The sequence below is a fragment of the Homo sapiens genome, chromosome 1, assembly GCF_000001405.40.
Source record: "Homo sapiens chromosome 1, GRCh38.p14 Primary Assembly".
NCBI classification, from domain to species: Eukaryota; Metazoa; Chordata; class Mammalia; order Primates; family Hominidae; genus Homo; species Homo sapiens.
Window position 1 is genome coordinate 226,322,771 of NC_000001.11, and position 13,367 is coordinate 226,336,137.

The 13,367-nt window shown below is 44.7% G+C and overlaps 1 pseudogene, besides 1 other annotated feature; it reads right to left on the reverse strand.

Annotated features, from left to right (window-relative positions):
• Positions 1-9,214: 9,214 nt before the first annotated feature.
• LOC101060016 (signal peptidase complex subunit 3-like) lies at positions 9,215-10,885 on the reverse strand (annotated as a pseudogene).
• Positions 10,462-11,016: an enhancer, noted in NCBI's record as "OCT4-NANOG hESC enhancer chr1:226520933-226521487 (GRCh37/hg19 assembly coordinates)". NCBI's record gives its function as "activates a minimal SCP1, AML or CMV promoter by ChIP-STARR-seq in primed H9 embryonic stem cells {active_cell/tissue: H9 hESC(primed)}" and the evidence as "EXISTENCE:reporter gene assay evidence [ECO:0000049][PMID:30033119]".

Sequence of the window (13,367 nt, forward strand, 5' to 3'; positions counted from 1 at the left end):
GGCACTCTACTAGGCAATTTTATTTATTTATTTATTTATTTATTTATTTTTTGAGACGGGGTCTCACTCTGTTGCTCAGGCTGGACTGCAGTGGGGCAATCACAGCTCCTGCAGCCTCAACCTCCCAGGCTCAAGCCACATCCTCCCACCTCGGACTGCCAAATAGCTGGGACTGCAGAGGCACGCTACTACAGGGGCACACTATTTTTTGTAGAGACAGGGTTTTGCCATGTTGCCCAGGCTGGTCTAGAACTCCTGAGCTCAAGCAATCCGCCCTCAGTCTCCCAAAGTGATGGGATTACCGGCACTTGGCCTGTTCAGAATTTCTTAAATGAATTAGCACATATAAGCTAGAGGAGCCCACCAGCCCAGGCTACCCAAGGAGGAATACCTTGTCATCAGAACTGCCCAAACCAGAAAGATTGGATGACTCAACACAGTGCAGATTTGTGAATTCTAACCCAGAAAGATTGCCCCTTCAGGACCTGTATGTGTCCAAGGAAACATTAAGAGTTTAATAGCCTGGGCAACATAGTCAAACTCTGCCTCCACAAAAATTAGCTGGGTGAGGTGGTGTGCGCCTGTAGTCCCAGCTACACAGGAGGCTGAGGTGTGAGGATCAGTTGGGCTGGGGAGGTTGAAGCTCCAGTGAGCTATGATTGCACCACTGCAGTCCAGCCTGGGAAACAGAGCAAGACCCTGTCTCAAAAAAAAAAAAAAAAAAAAAAGAAAAGAAAAAGGTTTATAGTCATCAATTCTGCTGTCTTCTCATAACCCCTAGTATTCTAGGCAATTTAATAGGGTACGATTATTCAGTAATTGGCCAGCAAATACTTATTAATTAAGCACCTACTATGTGGCAGGAACTAAGGTTGCAAAATTCAATGTGACATAGTGCCTCGCAGAGCTTTCAGTCTAAGGGAAGACACAGACACATTCCATAAGCAATTGCAATAGTTTGACAGTAGCTGTCCTAGGGCTGAGGTCAAGATACTGTAGGAGCATAGTGGAGTGCGGGATGTAGGGGAGGAAAAGAAATATTTTTTCCTTGATCATCACTGGGTTTGTGGCTGAAGCCCCTATAACAAAAGATAGTTTAACAAGAAAAGTATACACATTTATTTATTTAAGTTTCATGCGACATGGGAGACTTTAAAAGGAAATGGCTGGGTGCAGTGGCTCGCGCCTGTAATGCCTCGGGAGACTGAGGTGGGCTGATCACCTGAGGCCAGGAGTTTGAGACCAGCCTAGCCAAGATGGCGAAACCCAGTCTCTACTAAAATTACAAAAATTAGCTGGGTGTGGTGGCATGCGCCTGTAATCCCAGCTACTTGGGAGGCTGAGGTAGGAGAATCGCTTGAACCCGGGAGGCAGAGCTTGCAGTGATTCAAGAGCAAGCCACTGCACTCCAGCCCAGACAACAGAGCAAACCTCCGTCTCAAAAAAACAAAAAAAGGAAATGGCCCAAACAAACAGGTAAATCTGTGTATATTTTATGCTAGGTTTGATGGAGAAGTGGATGGTCCTGGAAAAATATAATTGGATAAAAAGTATGATCTAATGTTAATAAAGTGTGAGGGGACCACTTAGCAAGACCTATTTGTTCCGATTTTTCTTTGTGTCTCTGTGTGTTCAGAGATAAGGATGTCCCTTTCCTCTAGGTATAGGGAGGGACCTCTCCAATGAGGTCTCATGACCTGCTTCAAGGGAGAAGGCTGAGAGGAAGATGAGATGGACCTACTTGCTTCTGCTGTTTTCTCAAATACCAAAGTGCTGTATTTGTGGGTAGCATGTCCTGAACTTAATCAGAGGTTGATAGGGGGTGAGGTAAGAAATGTTTCCCAGTCTTTGAACTGAGACCTGAAGGCTGAGTAGAAGTTAGAGAGAGGAAGTGGAAGAAGAAAGTACTATGATTGGCAGAAAGTCATGTGCAAAGGCCCAGGGGAAAGAAAGAACAGAGCTTTTATCCCAGGAACTTTAAGTAGTTGAGGATAGTTGAAGAGTTTAAAATTAGATGTGGCAAAAGCTAAGACTCAAGAGATAAACAGGGGCCTCACAAGTATAGAGGGCTTTTGAAACCTTTCCTGAAATGGGTTTTGATACCTATGGAGGTGCACCACTGCTAGTCAGGGTTCTCTAGAGAGAGAGAACCAACAGGGGATGATTAGATAGATAGATAGATAGATAGATAGATAGATAGATAGATACATACATACATACATACATACATACATACATATACAGACAGAGGAGAAGGGATTTATTAGGGAATTGGCTCACATGATTCTGGAAGCTGAGAAGTCCCATGACAGGCCATCTGCAAGCTGGAGACCCTGGGATGCTGGTATTGTGGCTCAATCCAAGTCAAAAAGTCTTAGAACCAGGGATGCCAATGGTGTAATTCTCAGCCCAAGCCCCAAAGCCTGAGAACCTGGTGGGGTGGGTGGTGCTCATGTAAGCCCTAGAGTCTCAAGGCTGGAGAGCCTGGGGTCCTGATATCCAAGGACAGGAGGAGAAGAGTAGGTCCCAGCTCCAGGAGAGAGAGGAAATCCTTTTCTCTCCTTTTTTTGTTCTATCTTGGCCCCCAGCCAATTGGTTGGTGCCCAGCCACATTGAGGGAAGATCTTCCCCTCTTAGTCCACTGACTCACACGCCAGTCTGCTCTGGAAACCCAGACAGACACACCCAGAAGGAATGTTTTACCATCTCTGTAGGTGTTCCTTAATCCAATCCAGTTGACACCTAACCTTAACCATCACAGCCACTGAGATCTCCAGCCTCCAACTGCTGTCCCTAAGCTCTGCCACAGTATTCATATCAACACCATGCTCTCCCCAGGCTGCTCCTAGCCAATAACTGCGCATGGCAGAGCTGCTCAAACCAGCCCATTCCATGCCTCCTCTAATGGGCTTTCTTGGCTGTGGGGGCTCCTGTGTGGTCTGGTCAGGATAGGCTGCACGCTTACCTGTAGAGCTGCCTGGAGCCTGATGGTGACCCTTGGCCAACACTATGGAATATATCAAATGATGTTCTGTAACCATCGGTCTGTGGATTGTTTGGGGAACAGGACATACCAGCCCATCAGCACTGTTTAATAATTGTTTCTTTGATGGAGCCTGGAGGATTTCAATATTAAGGCTGGTCATGGAGCTAAAACATGCCTATGTGACCAGTTCACTCCAAGAGATCCCACCATGAGTGAGCTTTGGACTTCCTGGTATGTACACACATGACGGTTCAAGACCTGAACGTGTAGCACAGGCAGTGGGAGTCAGCAGAGACAGAACAAAGAAGCCTGTGCCTGAGATCTGTAGCCCCTTCTTTGCATAACGTTGCCTGCTGTTACCATACTGTATCCTTTGCCTGTTAAAAACTGATATGTGAGGGCTGGGCTGGGTGGCTCACGCCTGTAATCCCAGCACTTTGGGAGGCTGAGGAAGGTGGATCATGTGAAGTCTGGAGTTCAAGACCAGCCTGGCCAAGATGGTGAAACCCTGTCTCTACTAAAAATACAAAAATTAGCTGGGCATGGTGGTGCACACCTGTAATCCCAGCTACTCGAGAGGCTGAGGTGGGAGAATTGCTTGAACCCGAGAGGTAGAGATTGGGGTGAGTCGAGATCTGCCACTGCACTCCAGCCCGGGTGACAGAGTGAGACTCTCAAAAAACAAAACAAAACAAAACAAAACTGGTCTGTATGAGTATAGAAACTGTTGGAGTCCTGTGAGTCCTTTCAGCAAGCAAACATGGAAGGTAATCAGAGCATGATGAACACAGCCTCCCATTGGCCTAGCTGTCTCTCTGCTTTATTCCTCAAAAGCATTTCCCCAAATAAATAAATCTATACATCTGATTGTGTCCTAGCCTCTGTTTCTCAGAAAACTTGAACAGGAACAGGGTATCAAGAGTGGCTGGAAAAGCACACAGTTTAGGATTGACTAATTTCTCACCTGGCTGGCAAGGAGTATCCCATCCCAAGTGGAATGTGGGGCACGGATAATGCCTGATTCAAGGTGGCCCAAAATATCCGAGTGGAGGGGAACACCTTTGCTGGTGAGATGATTCAGGCATTGAAAGACAGGGGAAAGACACTGCTTAAAAACACAGTGGAGTTGGCTGGTTATTAGTGCCCCGTATAGGAATAATGAAAAGCGAGAGTTAAACACATACCAGCTAAGTGGAGAGCCAGAGCCCTCATTGGTAGCTTACAAAGAGGCCATCATTGCCTTTACGAAGAGTGAACACAGCTGAGGAGCAAACTCAGGTCTTAATGTTACTGAACAGAATTGGAGTCCGCTTGCCTGGTGCAATAAGGCCAGAAGAACCACACTGAGGTTTGCAGCAGGAGAAAGGAGGGAGTTTATTTGCAGGGTGCCAAGTGAGAATCAAGCAGCTCTTGCTTAAATCTTGACCTCCCTGATGGGTTGAAAGTAAGGACGTTTTGTTTTGTTCTTTGAGACAGGATCTCGCTCTGTCACCCACGCTGGAGTGTGGTGGTGCAATCATAGCTCACTGCAACCTCAAACTCCCGGGGTCAAGCGATCCTCCCATCTCAGCTTCCCAAGTAGCTAGGGCTATAGGCATGTGCCACCATAACTGGCTAGTTTAAAATTTTTTGTAGAGATCGGGGGCAGGTGTGTAGGGGGGGGTGGGGTCTTGCTATTTTGCCCAGGCTGATCTCGAACACTTGGCCTCAAGAAATCCTCCTGCCTCAGCCTCCCAAGGTGCTGGGATTACAGACATGAGCCACTGTGCCTGGCCTGAAAGAAAGAATTTTTAAAGGCAGGGGTAGATTTTAGGAAAGCAGAAGTTACAGGCAAAATCATAAATCAATACATGGAGATTATACACTGTTTTGGCCTAAAAAGGTGGGATATCTTGAAGTGGGGGCTTACAGGTCACTGATAGACTCAAGATTTTCTGATTTGCAATTGGTTGAGGATGAGAAGTTTTGTTTAAAAATTTGGGGTCAGCAGCAAAGAATGTTAGCTCTGGCTTGTGGGCATGACCTCCTCCAGGCCCCTCAGGAAGAAATTGAGAACAAAGAAGTCCAGTCCTCAGCTCCCTGTTCTCTGAGGTCTAAAGTGCCAGCAGATCCATTTGATAGGGGTTTGAGTTCCTGAAAAATAACTCAGTGACATATGTTAAGATGTTATCTTTAGTTTCTGTAGGGGAACCAAACATCCTGTGATTCTAACTACTGTTTTAAACTACCATTACCTTCTTGCGTATCAAGTTGCTTATTTACTTCTCAGGAGTAGCTAGGAGCCTGGAATTTCCCTTGAAGGAATTCACCATTTTCCTTTATTTCCATGCTCGAGGTGCCTGAAGGCTCAAAAAGGGGGGGTCCCTGCTCCCTCTCATTAATAGTTAAAGTCATTGAGTTCCAGAGGCATTTAAATGGTCAGCCAAGGCTGGGCACGGTGGCTCACACCTGTAATCCCAGCACTTTGGGAGGCCAAGGCAGGCAGATCACTTGAGGTCAGGAGTTCGAGACCAGCCTGGCCAACATGGTAAAACCCAGTCTCTACAAAAAATACAAAAATTAGCTGGGCATGGTGGTGCGTGCCTGTAATCCTAGCTACTGGGCAGGCTGAGGCACGAGAATCACTTAAACTGGGGACGCAGAAGTTGCACTGAGCTGAGATCACACCACTGCACTCCAGCCTGGGCAACAGAGCGAGATTCCATCTCAAAAAAAAATAAGTAAATAAGAATAAAAAATAAATGCTTAGCCAAGACAAGTTGTTTACACAACCTCAGAGCCCTGGTTGAGGAAGCCTGGGACCCGGACACGCAGGATGGAGACATCTGGGGATGTGCCCTAAAGGATTCGTCTCTGCAGACTCAAAGGTCACATACAGAGGTATCCAGCCTCCTCCCAGGCCCGGCGCGCTGGCTCACACTGTAATCCCAGCACTTTGGGAGGCCGAGGCGGGTGGATCACAAGGTCAGGAGATCGAGACCATCCTGGCTAACACGGTGAAGCCCCGTCTCTATGAAAAATACAAAAAATTAGCCGGGCGTAGTGGCGGGCACCTGTAGTCCCAGCTACTGGGGAGGCTGAGGCAGGAGAATGGCATGAACCCGGAAGGCGGAGCTTGCAGTGAGCCGAGATCGCGCCACTGCACTCCAGCCTGGGAGACAGAGACTCTGTCTCAAAAAAAAACAAACAAAAAAATTGAAACATACAATTCAGTAAAGTGCACAAATCTTTAGTGTATAACATCTTGACAATTTGTTTCTTTTTAAAATCAACTATTATTGAGATAAAGGTTATATATATTAAAATGTACCTATTTTTAGTGTATGGTTTGATGAATTTTGACATCTATGTATATATCATCATAATTAAGATATATAACATCTCCATCACCAACAAAATTTTCCTCATACTCCTTTGTAGTCAGTCCTACCCCTCCCAGTACTAGGCAAACACTGGTCTGCTTTTTGTCACTATATAGTAGTTTTTCCTGTTCTAGGACTTTATATTAAAAAATCCTACTATATATATGTATTATACACACACACACACACACATACACACTTTTTCGGATCTGGATTCTTTAGCTCATCAATAAAGTTTTCAAGATCCATTCATGTTGTTGTGTACTGTGTCTATCAGAAGTTTGCTCCTTTTTATTGCTGAGTAGTATTCCCTTGTATGGACAAACCAATTTGCTTATCTATTTGCCTATAGATGGATATATATTTTTTGAGATGGAGTTTCGTTCTTGTCGCCCAGGCTGGAGTGCATTGGCATGATCTTGGCTCACTGCAACCTCTGCCTCCAGGGTTCAAGGGATTCTGCTGCCTCAGCCTCCCAAGTAGCTGACATTACAGGTGCCCACCACCATGCCCAGCTAATTTTTGTATTTTTAGTAGAGACGGGGTTTCACCATGTTGGCCAGGCTGGTCTTGAACCCCCACCCTCAGGTGATCCGCCCACCTTAGCTTCCCAAAGTGCTGGAATTACAGGCATGAGCCACCTTGCCCAGCTAGATGTGTATTTGGTTTTAATACCCATCCACAAATATTCATGGCAGCTATTATTAATAAAACTATTATTAATAAAGCTGCCATGAATATGCATGTACAAGTCTTTTGGGGCTCATGGGATTTCATTCTCTTGGGTAAATACCTAGGAATGGAATGGTTGGGTCATATGGTGGGTACATATTTAACTTTATAAGAACCTGCCAAATGGATTTCCAAGGTGGCTGTGCCATTTGACATCCCTATCAATTCTGGCCGCTCTATATTCTCTTCAGCGGTTGGTAATGTCAGATTTTTGACTTTTTTAAATGTGTGTGCCCTTCTGATAGGTATGTAATGATATTGATTTCTAGATTCTTTTGTGGTCAAATAAAATATTCTATATTGTGGGCCAGGAGAAGTGGTTCACGGCTATAATCCCAGCACTTTGCAAGGCTGAGGCGGGCAGATGATTTGAGGTCAGGAGTTTGAGACCAGCCTGACCAACATGGTGAAACTTCCTCTCTACTAAAAATACAAAGAAATTAGCTGAGCGTTGTGGTGCACACCTGTAGTCCCAACTACTTGGGAGTCTGAGGCAGGAGAATCGCTTGAGCCGGGAGGCTAAGGTTGCAGTGAGCTGAGATCGTGCCACTGCATTCCAGCCTAGGCAACAGAGCAAGACTCCATCTCAAAAACCAAAACCAAAACCAAAACAAAACAGAACTCTATATTGTGACAGTCTTTTTCACTGTAAGATTTGTTTCATGCCCAGGACATGGACTGTCTTGGTGAATGTTACATTTGCACTTGAAAAAAAAATGTGTTTTTGCTTTTTTTTTTTTTTTGAGACGGATTCTCACTCTGTTGCCCAGGCTGGAGTGCAGTGGCACGATCTCGGCTCAATGCAACCTCCGCCTCCCAGGTTCACGTGATTCTCCTGCCTCAGCCTCCTGAGTAGCTGGGACTATGGCATGTGCTGCCATGCTTGGCTAATTTTTTGTTTTTGTTTTGTTTTGTAGAGATGGGGTTTCTCCATGTTGCCCAGGCTTCCATCCATTTATTCTTTTTTTTTTTTTTTTTTGAGAAGGAGTTTTGCTCTTGTTGCCCGGGCTGGAGTGCAATGGCGCCATCTCGGCTCATCGCAACCTTCACCTCCTGGGTTCAAGTGATTCTCCTGCCTAAGCATCCTAAGTAGCTGGGGTAACAGGCATGCGCCACCATGTCCGGCTAATTTTGTATTTTTAGTAGAGATGGGGTTTCTCCATGTTGGTCAGGCTGGTCTCGAACTCCTGACTTCTGGTGATCTGCCCGCCTCGGCCTCCCAAAGTGCTGGGATTACAGGCGTGAGCCACCTTGCCTGGTCCATTTATTCTTAATCTGTTGTCTTTATATTCAAATTAGATTTCTTTATGGAGTATATAGTTTTGTCTCACTCTTTTTTTTTTTAGGGTCTTCCTGTGTCGCCCAGGCTGGAGTGCAGTGATGTGATCTTGGCTCACTGCAACCTCCGCCTCCCAGGTTCAATTGATTCTCATGCCTCAGCCTCCCGAGTAGCTGGGATTACAGGCATGTGCCACCACACCCAGCTAATTTTTGTATTTTTTAGTAGAGATGGGTTTCACCACGTTGGTCAGGATGGTCTCAATCTCTTGACCTCGTGATACGCCTGCCTCAGTCTCTCAAAGTGCTGGGATTACAGGCGTTAGCCACCGTGCCCAGCCTCATTTTTTTTTAAAGGTCAATGAGATACAATTCGTTAAGAATAAAAATATATTGTTTCGCCAGGTGCAGTGGCTCATGCCTGTAATCTTGGCACTTTGGGAGGCCGAGGTGGTGCATCATTTGAATCCAGGAGTTTGAGACCAGCCTGCCCAACATGGGGAAACCCCATCTCTACTAAAAATACAAAAATTAGCTGGGTGTGGTGGTGCATGCCTGTAGTCCCAGCTACTCAGGAGGCTGAGGCACGAGAATCGCTTAAGCCTGGGAGGCGGAGGTTGCAGTGAGTCAAGATTGCGCCACTGCACTCCAGCCTGGGTGACACAGCAAGACACAGTTTCAAAAAAAAAAAAAATTAGCCAGTGTGGTGGCCTGTGCCTGTAATCCCAGCTACTCGGGAGACTGAGGCAGGAGAACCGCTCGAACCTGGGAAGTAGAGGCTGCAGAGAGCCAAGAGGGCACTGCATCCAGCCTGGGTGACAGAGCGAGATTCTGCCTCAACAAAAAAAAATAATAATCAATAAAAATACATCGTTTCAAACTTAGAATAATTTAATATTCTCTTTATTATTTCACATGTATCTGGAAATGGAATAGATACCTGTTCTCATCCTGTCCCGAGGCAGCGTTCCAGCAACTGGTACACGGTTCCCAGATAGAGTCAAAGTGACTTTCCTCTTGCAACCATTTTCATTGTCAAAAAAAAATTTGTTTTCATATATTTCAAGAGTAGCTTCAGATTAATACCTCTCAGAACAATCTCGTCCTCAAGGCCAACTTGGTTTAGAGCCTTTAACTGCAAATAATTTCCAGGCAACACTGACGACCAACATAAGGTAAATAACATATAGGCACATTTCAGTTCTATGGATTTCACTTTCATATTTTAAGTCTATCACTTTATACCTTCAGCATCAACATTAAAATAGAACCTAAGAAGATTTCTGTTTGAGCAACATTCTATATAAGTATCTCCACCTCTACCCCACTTGCAATCAGACTAGATTAATTTGCTTTCAATTATAATAACTGATAACTTTAACAGATTTTTAATCTAATAGTTTAACAGCTTTTAATTATAAAACCTATTCTCAATTATAATTTATAATTTTTTAAATTTAATTTTTTTTTGAGACAGGGTCTTGCTCTGTCACCCAGGTTGGAGTGCAATGGCACCATCACAACTTACTGCAGCCTCAACCTCCTGGGCTCAATCAATTCTCCCACCTCAGCCTCGCCAGTAGCTGAGACTACAATTGTATGTCATCATACCTGACTAATTTTTTAAATTTTTTTGTAGAGACAAAGTCTCACTATGTTGCCCAGGCTGGCCTTGAACTTCTGGGCTCAAGTGATCCTCCCACCTCAGTCTCCCAAAGTGCTGGTGTTACGGGCATTAGCCACTGCACCTGGCATGTAATTTACAGTTAAAAAGACTAGTTCAAGTACTTACGTTGATGAATCCCATACAACACCAAAACAAAGGAAAATTATTTTCAATATAATTAACTGCAGATACATGGCTTAGTAAGACTACTAAAACAGCTCATGCCATGTATTTAAAAACAAAAACAAAAACAAAACCAAAACATGCCTGAGGCAAGGAGATTGCGGCTGCAGTGAGCTGTGATTGCCCCAGCCTGGGTGACAGAGTGAGATACTATCTCTTAAAAACAGAAAAAAAATATGAGAAAAAAAAAAGCTGTACTGAGATGGATTTTAAAATAATCTCAGAAAATAGAAAAATTATTAATAATCTTTACAGCTTTTGATTACATATCTTCATAATGATAATTTTAATCACAGGTCTCAAATTTTGTTGCAAATATATTGCCATTAGGTCTCTAATCGTAGATTATCTTTTGTTGAATATTCTGCTGATAAATAAACAACTGCTTAACATTCCAATCAAATGTATTCTCACAATTAACTACAAGACTGGTGCCACTACTGGGAAACGAGCTGAGTTAATCAGCAGTTACATCAAATGTAATGAATCCCAAATCACTTCTTTCTCTCGGTCCGTTGAAGTCATCTACGTTTTTCAGCTTGATCGGCGAGTCATTGCCACCACACCAGGATGCTTCCGTCTTTGAAGGCAGTGGTGATGGTGAAAGCAGCTAAATATGAGCGCCACCATCAGGCTGAGAAGCGGCAGAGAGTTCACCTGCGACACCACCGCATTCATCTCCCACGACCCTGTGTCCACATGCACGCTTGGGCTCCTGTTTCAGGAGTGTATCACATATCTTTAAATATTGTTATGCTACTTTACATATCATGTGAGAACCTTTTAATAATGCAACTCCATTTTCCCTTTGGAACCTTTGTGCTATTGTTTTAAGACATTTCATTTCCATTTCCATTAGAAAGTCCAAACTATATTTTTATATTTGCTTTAAATGGTCAATTATCTTTTTAGAGAAATTCTTTTAAATGAAAAAAGTATTTTATATTTACCATGTATTTACATCTCTTTCTTTCTTTTTTTTTTTTTTTTTGAGTTGGAGTCTTGCTCTGTCGCCCAGGCTGGAGTGCAGTGGCACAATCTCGGCTCACTGCAAGCTCTGCCTCCTGGGTTCATGCCATTCTCCTGCCTCAGCCTCCCGGGTAGCTGGGACTACAGGCACCCGCCACCACACCCGGCTAATTTTTTGTATTTATAGTAGAGATGGGGTTTCACCGTGTTAGCCAGGATGGTCTCGATCTCCTGATCTCGTGATCCGCCCGCTTTGGCCTCCCAAAGTGCTGGGATTACAGGCATGAGCCACCGCGCCAGGCCACATCTCGTTATTTCTTTGTGTAGATCTAATTTTTCTATCTGTCACCCATGCTGGAGTGCAGTGACACAATCACGGCTCACTGAAACCCCAAACTTCTGGGCTCAAGCAATCCCTCTATCTTTAGCCTCCTGAGTAGCTGGGACTAAAGGTGTGTGCCACCATAACCAGCTAATTTTTCTCTATTTTTGGTAGAGATTGTGTCTCGCTAGTTGCCCAGGCTTGTCTTGAACTCCTGGCCTGAGGCAATCCTCTCCCTACTGCCTCCCAAAATGCTGGGATAGGCTGGGTGCAGTGGCTTATGCCTGTAATCCCAGCACTTTGGAAGGCCGACGGGGGCAGATCACTTGAGGTCAGGAGTTCAAGACCAGCCTGGCCAACATGGCGAAACCCCATCTCTATTAATATAAAAAATATTGAAAAAACAAGGCAACAACAAAAAGCCCAAAGTGCTGGGATTACATGCATGAGCCACCGTGCCCAGCCAAAAAAATATTTCTTATAATGCCGTTCTCTGGAAATGACCTCACAGCTTTTATTTATCTGAAAATGTCTTTCTTTTCTTTTCTTCTTTTTTTTTTTTGAGATGGAGTCTTGCTCTGTCGTCCAGGCTGGAGTGCAGTGGCATGATCTCAACTCACCGCAACCTCTGCCTCCCAGGTTCAAGTGATTCTATTCTCCTGCCTCAGCCTCCCCAGTAGCTGGGATTACAGGCGCATGCCACCATGCCTGGCTAATTTTTGTATTTTTAGTAGAGACAGGGTTTCACCATTGTTGTCCAGGCCGGTCTCAAACTCCTGACCTCAAGCAATCCGCCCACCTTGGCCTCCCAAAGTGCTGGGATTACAGGCGTGAGCCACTGCACCTGGCCACAACATTGGTACTTTTGATATTTGTCCTTTTTTTTTCCTTCACACTCACAGACTCAGGTCGCAACTTTTGACATTTGGATTGACAAAGGCTTGGCACTTGTTGACATGTCTTTGTTGTGGAGGCCTTTCCTGTGCACCGTAGGATGTTTAACAGCATCCCTGCTGCTGTGGTCTGAATGTTTGTGTCTCTCCCAAATTAATATGTTGAAGTCTAACACTAATAGTATTAGAGGAGGTGGGGCATTTGGGATTGGTGTCCTTATGAAAGAGGCCCCAGAGAGCTGCCCTGTCCCCTTTCGCCATGTGAGAAAGCAGCGAGGACACATTCTCTAAACCAGGAAGCGGGCTCTCATCAGACACCAAATCTGCCAGTGCCTTGATCTAGGTCCTCCCAGCCTCCAGAACTGTGAGAAATACATTTCTGTTATTTATAAACCACCCAGTGTTTTGTTATAGCCACACAAATGGACTAAGACACCTGGCCTCTACCTTCTAGACAATGGTAGCATCTTCCCAGTCATGACAATATAAATTGTCTCCAGATACAGCAAAATATCCTCTGGGGAGTAAACTTACCCCTGGTTGAGAACTGCTGTTCTAGGTCTATTTCAGTTCTACTCCTAAGGTGTAACCCTTCACGGATCTTTACCACATATCCTCAGTGTTTAATCAGGTCTCTTCACTCAGAGTTGGAACTCAAACATACCCCAGTAGTGTGTGGGCTCTGGGAACTGTCCAACTTACATTTCCCCATAGTGATTTTTTGCTTGGCTTTATGGAGTTTCCTGTTAGAGATACAGCTTAATATTTAGCACAAGACTCCAGAACACTGTTATGCAGATTTCCTGGGCTCTTTTTTGGACTCTTTTCTCTGTGTTACTTTGCCTTGCAAATTCCAGCCACCTTAGCCTCCTGAAACCAATCTCTGTCCTTCAACTTGGTGAAACGACTATATTCTGTTTAGGTTCCCTCTTCTTGCACCACAGCAGTCTGGGAAGTATCTCCAGGCAGACAGCCT